This window comes from Homo sapiens, chromosome 10 (assembly GCF_000001405.40).
Source record: "Homo sapiens chromosome 10, GRCh38.p14 Primary Assembly".
NCBI classification, from domain to species: Eukaryota; Metazoa; Chordata; class Mammalia; order Primates; family Hominidae; genus Homo; species Homo sapiens.
Window position 1 is genome coordinate 9,604,864 of NC_000010.11, and position 19,420 is coordinate 9,624,283.

Sequence of the window (19,420 nt, forward strand, 5' to 3'; positions counted from 1 at the left end):
ACAAGAGATAACGTCTGCAGATGAGTCTCCTTCCAACTCCTTATTCACTGAACACAAACTGAGTTCATTTAATACTTGCCTCTAGTTAATCTCTGCTACCAACGCTTTGAATAAAAGGCATCCTTTAGGTGTCTGGATGTTTGTTATTCGACATCTTAGTCATGCTAAAGGTGGAAATGGGCTCCCGATGACTGTGTATTGACTTTGTGGGTGTTTGCATTTGTGTGTGCATCATGTGTGTGCTTCATCCGGCCAAGGCTACCCCCTTGACCACTGGGGTGATTTATATATACCTTTTAAGAGACTGAAAAAAGTAGAAAATAACAAAAGTGTGATCAACTTGTTCTATCATAATTCAGTAACAACAATAGATAGCAAGATATGTTCATAATTATACTAATCTTCCCTGCCTTTCATGATTTCTCAGTCAGTGGCTTCCCTGGGTCATGGGACAGACTCTGGCCAATGGGATGAGTGGGCATGACATTTGCTACATCAAAGCAAAAGTTTTAAATGCTATTATTTAATCTGGAGGCTTATTCACTTCCGCTCTCAACTGTGAGAACAGCATGTTCCATGCAGTGGCAATTCCTCCTGCTTGGATTCTGAAATGCTAAAACATGTGGATCCCTGCCTGCAAACCCACAGGACCCAGGACAACTGCCCTCATAGAGCAGGAGCAAAAAATAAACATGTGTTAATTGTAAGCCCCTGAGAATTTGAGAATCATTTTCCTCTAGGTAGCCTAACCTAGAGGAAAACGACTACTAACAGAGTTGTCAGGGGAGCATAAGAGTCTCTAGACAGAGGAGCCTCTTGAGGAAATCCTGAGATTTAAGAAGGCATACATTTCTTTGGAATGTTATGTATGAAAGGAATGAAGAAGAGATAGGATTAATAAAAGAAGTAAAGAAATTTAGCATTTAGGTGTGCCTTGATTGTTTTATTTTTGTAACTAAGTTATTCTTTTATTTACGTTGGTGATAGCTCAAATATCAATTAATTTTCTAGAGTTCCCTACAACACTTGAATTACATATTCTCCTGTGGTTGAGATGATAATGCATTTTCACTTCCAAAAAGGTACTTTATCTGTTATATGTTAAACTTACATTCCTTAATTATACAATGTCACTTATTTTGTATTATGGAGAAGCAATGCTTTCAAATTCACACTGCCATGATGTTTTTCTAAACAGGACTTGCTTCTGTTCTGTTGTAATCTTAGATAAACAGATATAACTTAGAATAAGTAGAAAGTATACCTAACTTTGTTGCTTTCTTTTGAACTTTTTTGCTTTACCTATGTTACTGTTAGCTCAGGGGAAGAGGCAAATTCTCCAGTGGGAAAAAAAACTTAAAAAAGTTATTGATTTTTAACAAATAGAAAATATATATATTTGAAAGTTTTTAAAATACAGAATTGAATAGAGTTCAATGTAAGGAAACCTCCTCATATTTCCTTTATCCTTTCCAGTTCCCATTGCCTATGACTAACCATTGTGAATAATATTTGAAACAAGGTCATATTCCATACACTTTATTAAGACTATTTCTGGTTTTTTAACATTATGAATGTTGTTCAATGTTTCTACATACTACCCATTCCATTCTTTTATTCTACAACATGGATGATCAGTATCTTCTTTAAACATTTTCCAAATTTCAACAAGTTGAGCTGGTTCTTACAAATAAAGCTGTAATATGCATCTTGGTACATATTTTCTTGCATATTTATGAGATAGATTACTAAAAGTATACTTGAGTTAAAATGTATATACAGTCCTCCCAAATGGTTTATATAATATATAATTCTGTCATCACTGTTTGAGATTCTTTTACTCTATATCCTCACAAACACAAGCTTTTATAAATCTATAAAAATGTTATGCCAGTAGGTAAGCAATATGTAACATCTTATTTAGTTACTGTTCTTGGACTACTGCTGTGTCGTTCTGTTGATAAGATCTTTGTATTTCTTATTCTGTGTATTCTCTGTTCATATTTCTTGACCTCGCTGCTGAGATTTTGTTTGTTTATTTTTTAGAGACAGAGTCTTGCTATGTTGCCCAGGCTGGTCTTGAACTTCTGGCCTCAAGTGATCCTCCTGCCTCGGCCTTCTAAAGTGCTGGGATTACAGGCATGAGCCACTATGCCCAGCCTTTTGAGATTTTTGAATGTGGATTTTTTAATTTGTAAATCTCATTTTTATATTTGAGACAGCAGCCTTTTGAGTAACCATGACAATAGTCTTTTCCTCTAGTACAATTTTGTTTGAACAAAGTAATTTACAAAGATCATAGACCATATAGTTTACAAATAACATGTATGGTGTGTTTTCCCAATAACATTTGCACCACATTTAGGGGCCAACTTGAAAAGGAGACCATATCGCAGGAATGTTAAGAACCCTATCTTAGGAATCAGGCAAATGTATGACACATTTCAACTTTGACATACATTAGCTGTGTAACTTAAGTAAATTATCTAAACTTTCTGATGTTCAATTTACCAGTTTTTAAAATGGAAAGAATATCTCTTTAATTTAGGTTTTTGTGAAAAATATTTTAAGTAAGAAAATGAGGTGTTCTAATATGCATTCCATGTGGGTACAGATATTTGTTTCATAATACTCAACTTTCTATAATTTCTATCCCACTTAGGTACAATGCATATAGATAGACAGATAGATAGATAGATAGATAGATAGATAGATAGATAGATAGATACACATACACACACATATATATATAAAACTGCCACAAAAATCATTACACGTGTGTCTATGTATGTGTAGGTATATATGTATACACATACATATATACACATATGTATATACATACATAATTATATGTGTATATATACACGCATATATACATACATAATATACATATGCATATACATATACATATATATTTATATATAAATATAAGTTTAAATGTATACATTTCTGTGTAATCAAGTAATCTAGAACAAATTCCTTATCAGAGATCACATTGGAATCTTGATAAAACGGGACGGAATAGCTTGAAATTAACTTTAAGCTACAAATTAAAAAATATTTATATACAGTATAAAATAGTTTTACAAACTAGTTTGATCATGGTGCATAAACTTCCAAATTATTATAGCAAAAATTTAGTACACTTGCTTCAGCAAAATTTTAAAATATATTTTCCAGTGGGGAGATATTAATGTAACTTAGTAGCTTTTATCTAATATGCAAACCCTGTGGCTCTTTGGAATATTGTGTTAAGAATTCTGAAGTCCACAGAAAAGAGAGCAGGGAGTAAGTAATGATGCTGCAGGAAGTGTGGTTTGGCAGTCACTTTTTCACGCATTTGATACTACTGAACACAAAGAAAACAACTGTGAAATTTTATTTCACAGATCATTGTTTTAACTGTATTTTTTTCCCACACAAAATTGTAAGCCTTCCATAATTGCTTAGTTAGATTAGGGGTGGCCTCTGGGGTTGGTTGTTAGCTTTTTCCACTAACTGATACTTAGCTTTGTTTTAACAAAATGTCCTCCTCCTTAACTATGTTTCATTTCAAAAGTCAACCCAGCTTAATTTTATCCTACTAGTGAAATATTGACATAAATAGGGAATACACATAATTTCCAGGGAAAGGAAACTTGTCAAATATGTTAGTATATTATGTCTGCCTCCATGATCCCAGTTCTTTCTACTTAAGATAGTCATATGTGTAAAATGTAATTAAAATTGGAGTTAAGTGAATCAATCTTTTAAAAATGAACAAAAACAATAAAAGGCTAGTTTAAACAAAAAGTCACACCTCTGAAAATAGGGGCATCAAAAAATCTATATTCCTGGTGTTCTCTATATAATACTGAATTATTTAAGCTCTTTTCTAAGAGTGTATTCCAGAGGATGAAAAAGAAGTATCTGTGTTGTGGAACATAGAGGGAGCTGTTGGCAAAGGGATAGTAAAACAATCATAAAATATACAGTGAATTTTTTTATTAAAATAGATTTTTTTAAAACCTTACTTTCAAGGCATCAATTGATAGTTAAAATGTATAATAGAATTTGATTGAAGTTAATATTTTTGGAAGAAGATTGTGGTAGAAATTATCTTTAAAAAAAAAAAAAAGATTTTCATGAAAAACAGGCCTGTTACTATTCAGAACAAGAGTACCTTGGAGAGGATGGAGGCTAATGCATTACATTTTGTTATTTTCACTTTATATTGTGTCCACTAACATGACACTGGGATTTATTTAGAGTAGTATAACTTTGCTCTATTCCTTAGATTTAAGTTATTTGCCCACTGAGAAAAATGTAAGTTGTTCTAAGGCATTTAATGTTATAATATTTGAAAGTTACAAATTAATGGGTTAAGTGATATAATACAGGGACAACGTTTGGGAAGGCTGATATCATGGTGATTCATAGCAACATAATTGCCACAAAAATTATTGCACATATAAAACAAAAAAACATTTGGTTGATGACAAGTACTGAAGGCAAACAATATACTAAAGTAATTGAACATATAATCTGAATTTGCACCACTTGGTTACTGTGAATTAACCAACATCAACAGCAACATTTCCTAAGAATATACACCATCAATTAGCATTTGAATGTGAATGGAAAAACAGATTCACACGGTAGTAGAAATACAAAAGGAATACATTTTAAAATAGTTTTTAAACCACTGTTTACTAAAAGACCTATCCAAGGCACTCTGATAAATGTTTATTCAGTGCTTGTGACCAATGCAGCAAACTCATGTTAGGAGTATTGGTTTATCATGGCAGGTTGTCAACAGCTAGGATATCATTATAAATGATCTTGTCTTTTCTGTTATAATTCAACAGAACAACTAAGAAGTATAAATGAAACTGCTCGAGGAGATGGAATTCAAAAGCGGGTTTAGCCCTGGTTTTGAGACAGTACGAAAGTTTGAAGGCGCTATTATTTAATGCGTGTTTAGTTTACTTTGGCATTTAGTCCTCAGCATAACATACTCTGTTAGCTTCTCAACTGGAACAGCCCCTTGATGTGGGCCTTACCCCTTCACTCATTAATAGAAAGTGAGTCTCTTAAGCAGCAGCATTTTGTGACCTGTGTCCCCTCGGTCACCTCTAACAAAATGGTAGGAGGGTGGTTGTGCGTTCCTGGGAGATTTCTTGTCCTCATTTCCCAGTTTATTTTCAAATCCTGGTTCTAGAATTAACACATGATTATTACCATATTCTTACATGTATGATCAAAGGTGCAGGGATTTACATACCACAATACTAAGATTTTTATTGAATTCCTATGTGGTTGGAGAAAAAACTCATTGGCAGGTAATTTTTAAAATATTGCCTGATATTTGAAAGAATGCTATCAAATATGTTTCCAAGTTCATTTATTCTCTCTCTAATATGGCTCTACAAAACTTAAAAAAAAATTATATACAATTTTCTTCTCATCCTGTTGGAAAGCACTTAGATGCAAATGGTGAAGGTATCTAGAATGAAAACCATGTTTTTAATTGCCACTAAATTGCAGACACTCTGCTTGCTGTCATAGGAAATGGTTAAAACAATGAGAAATACATTTGTCAATAAAAGATCACTCTCATTTATTTTTGATGGAATGCAAAATGTTCTAACATTAAGGAGGGGGGCTTGGCACTATGTAACACAATTACATCTACATTTACCCTTTGAGTCAGCAATACAATTTACTTTGAAAATACACATTCACTAATACAAAACTATAGATGCACAAGGTTATTTATTGCAGCAGTTTTTTGAATAGCAGTATATAAAAAATTACCTCAGTGCTCAACCGTAAAAGATGGATTGAATAAATATTATAAATATATAGAGTAATAAGCAGCTTAAAGATTGAAGAATATCCTATGAACTGAACTGATAAGAATATAGTTTTAAAAAGCAAAGCAGCCTGAAAAACGTAGGTTTAAAAAAGAGAGAAAATAAGAACTTGACTTTTTTCTCAAAAAGAAACTTATGATATAAGCCAGTAACAATTGAAAATGGGTACGTGGGGAGTGGGGAAGCTGGCAATGGTGGAGATGAATGGATAGGAGAAAGTCTTCTCTAAGTAAACCAGTAAACCTGACTATGTTATATAATGTTGGCTTGTGAACTAGGTTGTAATTGTATACATTAAAAATAAAAGCAAAAGCAAAATAAACATGAAAATCCTAAATATGGATATAAACAAAAATGAAGGAAACTTGCTTTATATGAAATTGATAATATAATCCTTGGAAAACATATGTGATTTCTGAATATAGTGCTCCAATTGTACAAATTTAGAATTAGACATAGTCTAAAGAAAAACAAAACTGAATGAAATTTTGAATGTTACTTAATAGGTTTATTATGAATGGTAGTATTAACTTGCTGTAGTATTTATGTATGCTTTTGTATAAATTTTAGAATTGAGCACCTGTATAACTATATTTACTGTTTGGAGCCAGGATTTTTGCTGTGATTAAATTAGGAGTATGGAAATAATTGGGGAGAGGGGGAGAAAACTCTTTAGTACTAGATTGGATTTGGAGGTATCAGTTTAATCTTGTGATCTTATACAGTATTTCTTAGCTCTACTAAGTTAAGTTGTCTAGAAGCATAAGACTTCAATAACAGGCCGGGTGCGGTGGCTCACGCCTGTAATCCCAGCACTTTGGGAGGCCAAGGCAGGTGGATCATGGGGTCAGGAGATCGAGACCATCCTGGCTAACATGGTGAAACCCCATCTCTATTAAAAATACAAAAAATTAGCTGGGTGTGGTGGCGGGTGCCTGTAGTCCCAGATACTTGGGAGGCTGAGGCAGGAGAATGGCCAGAACCCGGGAGGCAGAGCTTGCAGTGAGCCGAGGTCGTGCCACTGCACTCCAGCCTGGGTGACAGAGTGAGACTCCGTCTCAAAAAAAAAAAAAGAAAAAAAAAGAAAAAAGAAAAAAAAAAAGACTTCAGTAACAATAGACACAATAATCATTGAGATCTTGATTTCTAAATAAATACAATTCTCTAGAAACTAGAGTGCCATGGACAAATGCCTAATACTAGGACTAGGTTAGAGAAAGTACAAGTTGAGCTTGAAACATCTTGTTGTACTATTAGGGAAAAGGAGGAGGAGGAGGAGGAAGAAGAAGAAGAAGAGGAGGAGGAAGAAGCAGAAGAGGAGGAGGAGGAAGAAGAAGAAGAGGAGGAGGAAGAAGCAGAAGAGGAGGAGGAAGAGGAGGAGGAAGAGGAGGAAGAAGAAGAGGAAGAGGAAGGAGAAGAAAGGGGAGAAAAAGAAAGTAAGTTAATTGGACATGTCAAAAGGAGATTTTCACTGGCCAAATGTAGACAATGAAAGCACTGAAAAAAAAATAACAGATTACAATAAACAAAATACAAAAGACTCCATGAGTCCCCAGAAATGCTCGAAACCATAAAGAAAAGGAAAAGAGCAAGGAAAAGGTAAAAAGAGAAAGCAAAATGGAGAGAGAGAGCAAAAAAACTACTAGCTAAAACATACAGAGTTAAATAAACCACCTTTTGCAACCACAAATATAGTAACTGATTATAGCAAGGTCTGTCAAAGATGTTGAACATTTTGAGTGAATGTTTCTTGGGGAACAGAATATTCACACCATCTCAAAGTATCACTCCATCAATGTCTTATAACGACAATGACAAAAGAGAACTCTTCATGTGAGAGTTCTGGCCATCACCATCTTAATAATTATCAGGACAAACTGATATGTCTTCTGATGTGAAACAATGGAAAATACACACAGTATCACCAATGTTGTAGTCGCCCCTAAAATGTTTAACCTAACCAATCATAAAGCAATCTACCAACCTGGATTATGAAATAGTGGAATAATGACTTCACAGATTCACAAATGCATTCATTTTACAGTTATGTGTTAAGTTTTCCCTATATACCCTGGTCTAGGTGTAGAGGTTTCAGAAATAGCACATGTCTTCTTAGAACTTATCACTTTACTTAAAATATTACTCAGGGTTACAGGTTGGTAGAAATATACTTTTTAAAATCATATAGTCAGAGAAGACTTTGCTGGTGAAATGATATTTGAGTAGAATTCAAAACGAAGTGTATGGAGCCATAGGCTCCAAGTTTGGCTTATTTGAGGAGCAGCAAATCAGTTAGCAGAAGACTTAAAAAGGAGAAAAGTCATAGAGAATAAATTGCCAGGAACCATTTCATGTAAAATAATCCATTTAAGTCATGGTAAGAAATTTAGATTTTATTCCAAAATTTGGATTTTATTCTAAGTATAAAAGAACATTATGGAAAGAAATGTGCCTCCCCACAAGAAATTCATATCATAGAAATAAAAATGATTTCTTGCTGTTTTTCAAATCGTATTTACTGAGAAGAGAATATAAGATGACGTTTATATATCTTAAAATATTTGTTTCATTATATTTATTCTAACTAGCTCAGGAATCAACTATTCAGCTCTCATGCAATTGGAGATTATTAGAGAACAATAAAAGGGTCTGGGAGACTTTTTACATGGGACCATTGTCTTGAAATACAACTAGATGGAAGGTAGGGTACATGAATATGTGAGTGCTTAATATAATATATTGTTTGTTACCGATCTCAAACTTCTGAGAGTTCCTCGTTGACTCATCTTGTCACTTACACTCATTGTTTCTGAAACTGTTAGAAATTTCAGCTGAGTCATTGTTTTCACTATCAGTCCAATTTTAAGAATTTTTTTTTAAATACAAATTATATCACAGTGGAGGAAGTGTATATGACAGCTTTGAATGAAATGTAATAAATAGCCACTCCACTTGCAGGAAGGAGGGTGGCAGGTCTTTCAAGGCCATATTTTACCAAGCATCTCATTTGCTAGTGCAGGCGATTTGGGAGATGCTGGCAGGGGAGGAATAGAAAAATCTCTGAAAATGCTTAATTTCATTTTCAATTTAAGTAGCCGGAGCCTACTCAAAGAAATAGTCCCTGGAGTGAAATTTTGCAGCTGAGAAATTCTTTCAAGTCTTTCCCATTCTGCTGCTAACGTTCCTTAAAGCAAGAAATAGGCCGTTTGGCTCCGTTCTTGTTTTAGTCGCATCTGAGAGAAGAAAATCCCTCTGATGCTCTGTCCTGTCTTTCCTAATATCTCTATCACAGTTTCTAAAGGTGCTTTCAAGACCAGATGGGCATGCTGGTCCATTTATGAGTTTTTCTCAGGGCTAATACTGCCCTCAGTCCTCCCGTGGCCTTTCCACTGAAGTCAGTGGGAACTACATGACTGGATCAAGGTGGGATATATGGCTCCATGCAAACACTGAAAATTTAAACTCTTTGAAAGAAAACAAGAAAAAGCCAGAGGGATGTGAAAAAAAAATGTGATGAAATGGCCTCAGACAAAAACTGGAAGCAAATCAGCAATACCACATACATTTGTTGGGATATCAGATTCTATTTTTGAAGAGATATTAAGAGCTAAGGTAATAAATGTAGTCACATTTGGAAATAAGAGTGTTATAAAGTCACAAATACCATTATGGACAAAATCAGAAGGTCCTTCAGGACATAAAACTTGAACGGATCTAACATTTAGATAAATGGTGATTTAGAGTGGTCAACATTGGACTTGTAGGATAGCGAGATATTATATTTTTAAAGCTCTCACCATTGCCTTCTCTTAGAGAATATAGTACATTTATACATATAGAGAGAACACAGTACAGAGAATATAGTACATTTGGAATTTTTTTCTGATCAGTTTGATAAATCAAATTCACAGTCCTGTGTCTTCCTTTTACCTTGTACAAGTGAATAAACTTTTTGAGCTAGTGAGTTACCTTCCTGAAAAGAGGGATAAGCATTTGCTGACTGGAAGGTATAATGTGAGTTTATCTTGATTGTTGTGATTGCTTTGGTAGCTTTCTGCAATTCTGGGGTGGAAGATATGTGTAAAGTACTCTTAATTATCTGGCTTGTATCTTTTCTAAATTAAGGTTGTTTCCACATTTATAAAGTATGAGTTCCACACAGAGTCTTAGAAGAGTAAAACCGCAATCATTTCAACAGTGCAAAGTTGTCAGGAAGAAAAATATGCTATAGAGTATGTCAACCATTATTGAATTTAGATTGTAGATGTACAATACTCTTAATTTTACTCTTCAGGACAAAGAGTTGATTACTAAGAAGGTAATAAACCAACAGGCAAACAAACATACTTAAAGATATCAAAAACCCAAACTTGCTGCTTTCAGCTCATTCTGTCATATAATTGAAGGGAAGTAGACAACATTTTCATGTAAGACTAGATAATAGGATGTTGGATTTTTTTCCCCATCACTGCTCCATCCAGTATAGAATTGTGTAGTTCATGCTCTCAGATTTTGTTCCCCTAACTAATTAATTCTTCATCAGATTCTCCTCGACTGAGAATACTACAGTCTCCAGTATCCCTGAGCCCTAGGGGGCATTAAAGTGACTCACAGACATAACCTCACCACCTGATCCACCCTTAACATTGCCCAAGGTAGTGTGGTTTTATAGCAATAAACAGGATTCCTCATCAAAAGCAGTTTCCCCACCACTGCATATTATGCCAGAAAATCGACATTATAATTCATTCCTTGCAGGCTGAGTTATTTCCTCTCTCCAAAGAATTCTCTAACAAAACGCAGACATGGCTGGGAGATTTATGCCTAAGGTTAATTTCTGAAAATCCACCAATAGTTTGGGAGATTGAGAGCAAGATCTGATAAGGATGGAACAAATAATAGGACTTGAGCCCATAAATGGGTTGCTAAGACTTAGGACAAAAGAGAGGGAAGTTGAAGGGAGAATGAGAAGATACCAGAGACATATTTAATCTACCTTATAAGACAAGACACTGTAGTGGAAAGAGGATGTAAACTAAAGAAGAAAACCCACATTTTGTTTCAAATAACTATATTAAAGCAGTATTTGTGAAAAGGCCTTCTTTCTCAGAAATCTCGTTCATGAGATTCTTGAAGAATCAGCTGGCACGCTGGCCTTTGATTTTAAGTTTTCATAATTGTGTGAAATAGATTTCTGTTATTTAAGCCACCATGTGAATATTTTTTTTTTCTGAGTAGTAAGTCTCAACTGTGGGCTTTAAATATTCAGTAACCCTTGCTATAAAAAAGATATGCCGTAATGCAGGCTTTGTTGTTCCATTTACAGAGCACAGGCAGCGTGGATTTGGCAAAATTCTTATGAGCTCTAGGAGTTTCAGAATGGTAAATAAGCATGGGCTTCAATTGAAAGTCACCAGCTGCAGGGGTTCCTAACAGGGGAGTCAGCCTGTCCCTTGTAGCTTTGAAGTCAGACATTGACTTCTTTCTAGCTATAAAAGTCCCAAGTGGCATCTTCTTCCAATACAAGGCCCTTTCACCTACATTGAAAATCTGTTGTTTAGAGTAGCCACCTTCATCAAAGATCTTAGCTTGATCTTCTGGATAGCTTGCTGCAGCGTCTCCATCAGCACTTGCTGCTTCATCTTGCCCTTTTATGTTACAGAGACAGCTTCTTTCCTTAAACCCCATGAACCAGCATCTGCTAGCTTCAAACTTTTCTCCTGCAGCTTTCTCACCTCTCTCACCCTTCACAGAATTAAAGAGAGTTAGAGTCTTGCTCTGGGTTAGGTTTTGGCTTAAAGGAAGGTTGAGGCTGGTTTGATCTTCTATCCAAAACTGTCTCTTTGCATTCACAACATGGCATAAAAGGCTTAGCTTTCTGCCTATCTCAGCTTTTGACATGACTTTCTCAAGAAAGTCATTTCTAGTTTTTGATTTGTAATGAGAGATATGCCACTCTTCCTTTCACTGAAATACTTAGGGGTCATTATAGGGTGATTAAATGGCCTAATTTCAAAACTGTCTCAGGTAATATGGAGGCCTGAGGGGACAGACAGAGTGGGAGAATGGCTGGCCGGTAGAGCAGTCAGAGCACAAACATTTAGTACATTCGCAGTCTTACATGGATATGGTTCATGACACTCCAAAACAACTACAATAGTAATATCAAAGGTCCTTGATCACAGAAATAATAATATAAAAATTATCATATAATAATATAACAATAATAATTTTGAAATATTGTGATACTTACCAAAATGTGACACAGAGACATGAAGTGAGTACCTGCTGTTGGAAAAATAACACCAACAGACTTCCTTGAGGGAGTTGTCACAAACCTTCAATTTGTAAAATCTGCAATATCTGCAAAGTAAAATAAAGCAAAGTGCTATAAAACGAGGTATGTGGGTATTGAAATTAAGCATAAGATTTTGTTAGGTAGAAACAATGTTGCGCCCTAATGAAAATAAAATGTTTTTGATTCCTCAGTGATCAGAGGGAAATATAGATCTACATAAAATTTGAACTCTTTCTATTAAGAGAAACTATAATCCAATATCCCTTATGAATATAGATGCAGAATACTCAACAAAATAATAGAACAACAATTCCAGCAATATATACAAAGGTCAATACACCATTATCAAATAGAATTTGTCCCTGGAATGTGAAGTTAGTTTAACATCTAAAAAGCAATCCATGTAATACGTCAATGTTAAATGGACTAAAGAACAAAAACCACATAATTATGTCAACATATGCATAAAACACATTTGAAAAAATCCAACACCCTTTCATGATAAAACTATGAACAAACAGGCAATAGAAGGAAACTTCTTGAGCCTGATATATGGCATGTAGGAAAAATTCACATGTAACACCATACTAAATGGGGTAACTGAGTTTCTCTTCCTCCAAGATAATAAACAAAAGCAGGATGTCTGTTTCACTTCTATTCAACATTTTTCTGGAGTCTATCCAGGGCATCATACAAGTTTTAAAAAAGAAAAATGTCCAGATTGAAAAGAAAGAAATAAAACTACCTCTACTTTCAGATGACATGATCTTGTACATAATAAAATGTAAGAAACCCTGTGGAAAACTATCAGAGTTATTAAGCAAGTTCAATAAGGTAGCTAGGCACATGTTCAATATTTTAAAAAAATAGACATATTTCTACATACTAGAAATGGACAATCCAAAAATGAACTTAAAAAATTTTAATTGTCAATATTATAAACACAAAATATTTATGAAGAAATTTAACAAACACGTGTAAGAGTTTTATAACAAAACTTACAATACATTATGGAAAGAAATTGAAGAAAACTTAAAAATGGACTGACATCTCATATTTATGGATCAGAAGATTTAATATTTCTAAAAAAGGGTGTACTCCACAAGTTGATCTATAGATCCAATATAATTATCAAAACCCAAGCTGCTTTTAAAAAATAGAATTTGGCAAGCAAATTCTAAAATGAATATGAAAATGCAAGGGAACAAGACTAACTGAGACAATCTTGGAAATCAGCAAAGCTAGATGATTTATACTTCCCAAGTTTAAAACTTCATACATATCCACAGTAATAAAAAAGGTGTGGTACTTACAAAAAGATAGACTTCTAATATAAATCAATGGAATAGAAATAAGATTCTAGAAATAAACTTTTAATTTATCATCAAATGACTTTTGGTAAGAATGCCAAGACAACTCCATTGGGAAAGTACTATCTATCAAACACATGGTGCTGTGACAAATGAATATCAAATGCAAAATAATGAAATTGGACCCTCCTGCATACCATATATAAAAATTAACTCAAAATAGATCATAGATCTACACATAAGAAGTAAAACTATAAAAATCTGATAAGAAAATGTGAAAGTAAATATTTTTGTCCTTGGAATAAGGAATATTTTCTTAGATATGATGCCAAAAGCACAAACAACAACAACAAATGAATACATTAGTATCCACTACATTGATGATCTACAATAATCAAAATTAGATGATCTACAATCATCAAAATTAGAAAACTTTGTACCCAAAGAATGTCATTAAGGGCCGGGCGCGGTGGCTCACGCCTGTAATCCCAGCACTTTGGGAGGCCGAGGCGGGTGGATCATGAGGTCAGGAGATCGAGACCATCCTGGCTAACAAGGTGAAACCCCGTCTCTACTAAAAATACAAAAAAAAATTAGCCGGGCGCGGTGGCGGGTGCCTGTAGTCCCAGCTACTCGGGAGGCTGAGGCAGGAGAATGGCGTGAACCCGGGAAGCGGAGCTTGCAGTGAGCCGAGATTGCGCCACTGCAGTCCGCAGTCCGGCCTGGGCGACAGAGTGAGACTCTGTCTCAAAAAAAAAAAAAAAAAAGAATGTCATTAAGAAAGCGAAAAGTTAACTCACCAAATAGGTAAAAATATTTGCAAATCATAGGTCTCATAAGAGATTCATACAGATTATGTAAAGATGTCTTAAATTCAATAGCAAAAGGTCACTCTGTTATACAATGACTAATTGATCTAAATAGATCTTCTTCCAAATAAGATATAAAAATTGTCAATAAACACATAGAAAGGTGCTCAGCCTCATTGGTCATTAGGAAAATGTATGCCAAAATCACAATAAGCTACTGCTTCATGCCTATTTTATTTTAAGATGGCTAAAATAAAAAAGATAGACAATAACAAATGTTGGCAAGGTTGTAAAGAAACTGGAACCCTGATATATTGTTAATGGGATTGTAAAATGGTACAACAGTTTTGGAAAACACAGTGGCAGTTCCTTCAAACGTTAAGCATAGAGTTACCTTATGAACCAGTTATTCCCTTCCTAGGTATATGTCCAAGAGAAGGAAATAAATACATATGTCTATATAACAATTTTAGGAATGTTCACAGCAGTGTCATTCACAAAAGTGAAAATATGGAAACAATTCAAATGCTTATCAACTGATAAACGATAAACAAAATGTGGTATATCCATACAATGGCATATTATTTGGCAATAAAAATCAGTGAAGTACTGATACAGTTTGGCTGTGTCCCCACCCAAATCTCACCTTGAATTGTAACAATTCCCATGTGTCAGGGGTTGGGCCAGGTAGAGATAATGGAATCATGATGGCAGTTTCCTCCATAGTGTTCTCATGGTAGTAAATAAGTCTCATGAGATCTGATGATTTTACAAAGTGAAGTTCCGCTGCACAAACTCTCTTGCCTGCCACCATGTAAGATGTGACTTTGCTCCTCTTTTGCCTTCTGCCATGATTGTGAGGCCTCCCCAGCCACGTGGGACTGTGAGTCAATTAAACCTCTTCCCTTTACAAATTACCCAGTCTTGGGTATGTCTATTAGCAGCCTGAGAACAGACTAATATACGTACTTATACATCAACATAAACAAACCTGAAGATATGCCAAGTGAAAGAAGACCACAGATTGTAAGATTCTATTTAGAGGAAATGTCTAGAATGGACAAATTCATGGAGATAGAAAACTAGATCAATGGTTTTTAGTACCTAAGGGGAGAAGGGAATGAACAGTGATTTTTAATGGGTATGAGGTTTCTTTAGGAAGAGATGAAAATATATTAAAATTAGATTGTGGAGATGATTGAACAACTCTGAATATACTAACAAAATGTTGAACTGTACACTTTGAAAGAGTGAATTTTATGGTATGAAAATTATACGTCAATACAGCTGTAATAAAAATTACCAAGAGACATTACTCCTGAAATAAAATGTCAGAAGTAGCAATTATTGCTAATGATTTTAGTCCTTATTTGGTGGTTTTGCAGCAAGCTCCTTCTTAAATAGCATTTCATTTAATCACAGCAACACCTTACAGACATGGGAACCCTTACAGGCTGAATTTCATCCACACCCTTCAAATTCATATGTTAAAGTCCTAATACCTAGTACCTCTGAATGTGACCAGATTTAGAGATAGGGTCATTAAAATGACAAAAACCACAATTACTTTTACACCAACCTAATGATGTAGGAGTTAAGAAGAATTTATTTAGGCAGATAGCAAGGGCATAGGAGTCCTCAGTAAGGTCTGCCGTTTAATGAAAAGCAGCCACCAAATCATTTTCTTTCCTAACGAAGAGCAGTCTGTAAAAGTGAGCTGCAGACACAGACAAGCAAGCTGGGAGCTTGCAGGGGTGAATGACAGCAGTTGTACCCACAGGAATATACTACATGGGACTAGGCATGTTCAAAATAGCTGCTCCATCTTCCCTTCTCTTTGCCAAATTGCGTGTAGAGTAAGGAGAAGAAAATATGGCGCTAGGCAGGCAAATACCCTATTTGCATAATAAGATTAGGGTGGGGTGACCAGCCTTCCCTGGTGGTATGTAAAAGTTACATCTGCTTGAACCAATCTGTGGACCCTATGTAAATCTGACACAGCCCCTTCAAGCCTGCCTATAAAGTCTAGCACGATCCACAAGAGGCCAGATTTTCCTTTTGGAAGCCTCTCTCTCTCTCTCTCTCTCTCTCTCTCTCTCTGTCTCTCTCTCTCTCTCTCGCAAGGGAGAGAGCTGTTCTCCTTTCTCTTTCTTTTGCCTATTAAACCTCCACTCCTAAACTCAGTCCTCCTCTTTGTCTGTCTCCTTAATCTTCTTGGCAAGAGACGACAGACCTTGGGTATTTACCCCAGACAACGAACGACACCGCTTCACTAACAGCATTATGATTCATAGCAGGATAAGAGAAAGAGCAAATACCAGTTTACGAGAAAAGAAGCTCAGATTTAAAGACTGCCTATGACAATAAACAACTTCCATGGCTATAAATGATGGGGAGAAAGATGACTAATTTTATATATTTCTTTTTAATCCTCCAACTTACTCTACCATAGACTGAGAATCTATGTCAAGACAGAGTCTGAGAGTTTAAGTCAAGTTACAAGACATTGAGCTTCTTACGATTGAGAGACTAAGTGTATTATTTGTCAGCAAAGACAAAGTGTGCAAGCAAATGCCAGATTTAGTTATATAGTCTGGAAAAGAATTTTGTTTTTTTTTTATGATTTGTGGGTGATCTTTGTGACCTGTGTGTATAGAAATTTTATAGTAGGTAATTCTCAAGTGTGATCCTGCAAAAGCTAACTTTATAAAGTCCTCAAAATATTCGTTCTGATTCTCTGCAGGAGAAAACATGGATCTTGAAGTTATCAAGGAGAATAAAACTTTGTCTTTTATATCTGCAAATTATTTGACTTTGAAACTCAGAATATACTGAAAATATATAAGAAAATGTTTATACTAAAAAGATAAATAGATGATAAATATCACTGATATATTATCATATAACCTATGTAATAAACTATATATTCTATATAATAAGGTATATTATACAGAATTTATAATTATGTAAGTAAATTATATGTAATATATAATTATAAGTAAGTTATACATAATTTATGTATATGTATAAAATTTGCTGATTGGAAAACCCTGTTGTGGGGGAAATTACTTGTTCCATTCCTGTCATTTATATATTTATATATTAGTTAAAGAGACAAGGAGGTTAGTATATATTTATTACGTTTTTAATAATTCCAATGCCTAATATGACATTTAATTCTAATAATAATACATATGTTACAATTAACCCCGTTTATAAATGGAGAAAATTGAGACTCATGAATATTAAGTGAATTGTCACATGGTACAGACATCAAGAGGTATGGGCTAAATTAAAACTCAGTCTTCTAATTCTTATGTCTATGTGTTTTTAAATATCTACTATATCACTTTCCAATTAAATATGCATAGCCTTGGAATATTCTAATAATAAATTTTAGGTGTGTCTACAATTGTCATGGTGACACAACTTTGTCAAGAGGACAGGGTGGCTCGAATTTCATCTCAGACTTTTCTCTGTTTGAAAGGAATGTTAGCACACAGCTCACAGGGTTTTTGAAGGCAAATATGGTGACACAGTGTGTGCCATCTGCTATGAACTCATCACAATTGAGTTTCTCTCTTCCCTTCCCCATAAGCTTTATATTCATCAACAGGAGTTGGTAGGTAGGAGGACTTTCTTCAGGATAAATTTAGGAATAAAAAATATCCAGTTAATTAGTGGGGTTTTGTTGTTTTTGTTTTTGTTGTTTCTTTTAAGACAGGGTCTCACTCTGTCACCCAGACTGGAGTACAGGGGCGCAATCATAGCTCACTGCAGCCTCAATCTTCTGGGCTCAATTCATCCTCCTGCCTCAGCCTCCCGAGTAGCTGGGACTACAGTCATGTACCACCACGCCTGGCTGATTTATTCATTTTGTGTAGAGATGAGGTCTTTCAATGTCATCCAGGCTGTTCTCTAACTCCTGGCCTGAAGCGATCCTCCCACCTGGGCCTCCCAAAGAGTTGCGATTACAGGTGTGCACCACCATGCCTGGCCCCAGTACATAGTTTCTAAAGAGAAAGATTTGGTTAGGTGGTCGGTAAGATCCTTTATGGATTAAATAACTATTCATTGTAAATGGTGGACTGTATTAGTCAGGGTTCTCCAGAGGGACAGAAATAATAGGATACATGTATATATGAAAGGGAGTTTATTAAGGAGAATTTATTACATAATCAATAGTGAAGTCCCATGATAGGCCGTCTGCAAGCTGAGAAAAACCGAAGCCAGTAGTGGCTTAGTCCACGTCCAGAAGCCTCAAAAGTAGGGAAGCCGACAGTGCAGCCTTCAGTCTGTGGCCAAAGGCCTGAGGGACCCTGGCACACCACTAGAGTAAGTCCTAGAGTTTAAAGGCCAAAGAATCTGGAGTCTGATGTTCAAGAGCAGGAAGCATCCAGTATAGGAGAAGATGAAAACTGGAAAACTCAGCAAGCCAGCTTCTTCTACCTTCTTCCACCCGCTTTTTCTAGTGGCGCTGGCAGCCCATTTGATGGTACCACCTACATTGAGGATGGGTCTTCCTCTTCCTGTCCACTGACTCAGATGTTAATTTCCTCTGACAATACCCTCACAAACACACCCAAAAACAATACTTTACATCCTTCAATCTAATCAAGTTGACACTCAATATTAACCATCTCATAGACATTCAATAAATATAAACTAATTTCATTGTGAAATTTGTGACTAATATCATAAACAGAGGCTAATCATTGAACGTTGTCCTCTGAGGGCAGTAAGTAAACCTATTATCCCCTTAGGGTCTAGCCAGAAAAACTAGAAACTTTCTTCCCCAAGGCAAGTCAAAGAAACCAGAACCCCTTTTCCCCAAAGCCAGCCATAAAACCTAAAAATATTACTCTTTCCCCACACCTTTCTGTATAAAAACTGGCCATAAAAACATTAGCTGATCAACCCTGTTTGACTATTGGTCATAAGATCCCCATTCCAAAGAGTGTCCTACTCCTACAAAATGAAAACAAATTCATACTCAAAGAGGCCCCCCAGAATACAGACAGACTAAAGTTGCTGGGTTTCCCTACTAAGTCTATCAACATTAGATTATACCCTCTTTATCCAATCATATCTCTACACAGCTACCCATATTTTCTTAAATCTAAGCATAGAAATAGACAATTTCCTCTG

At 35.2% G+C, this 19,420-nt stretch overlaps 1 long non-coding RNA gene across 5 annotated transcripts in view, besides 1 other annotated feature; it reads right to left on the reverse strand.

Moving 5' to 3' along the window:
• The window catches only part of LINC02663 (long intergenic non-protein coding RNA 2663), a 434,814-nt gene that overhangs the window by 161,583 nt on the left and 253,811 nt on the right, over positions 1–19,420 (reverse strand). For all 5 annotated transcript variants that reach the window (XR_930643.2, XR_930644.2, XR_930645.3 and 2 more), the window contains one exon: positions 12,109–12,218. This is a non-coding gene — a long non-coding RNA (long intergenic non-protein coding RNA 2663). The remainder of the gene's footprint in view (positions 1–12,108; positions 12,219–19,420) is intronic.
• Positions 8,700–8,759: an enhancer, noted in NCBI's record as "active region_2990". NCBI's record gives its function as "activates an Ori minimal core promoter by ATAC-STARR-seq in GM12878 lymphoblastoid cells {active_cell/tissue: GM12878}" and the evidence as "EXISTENCE:reporter gene assay evidence [ECO:0000049][PMID:35858748]".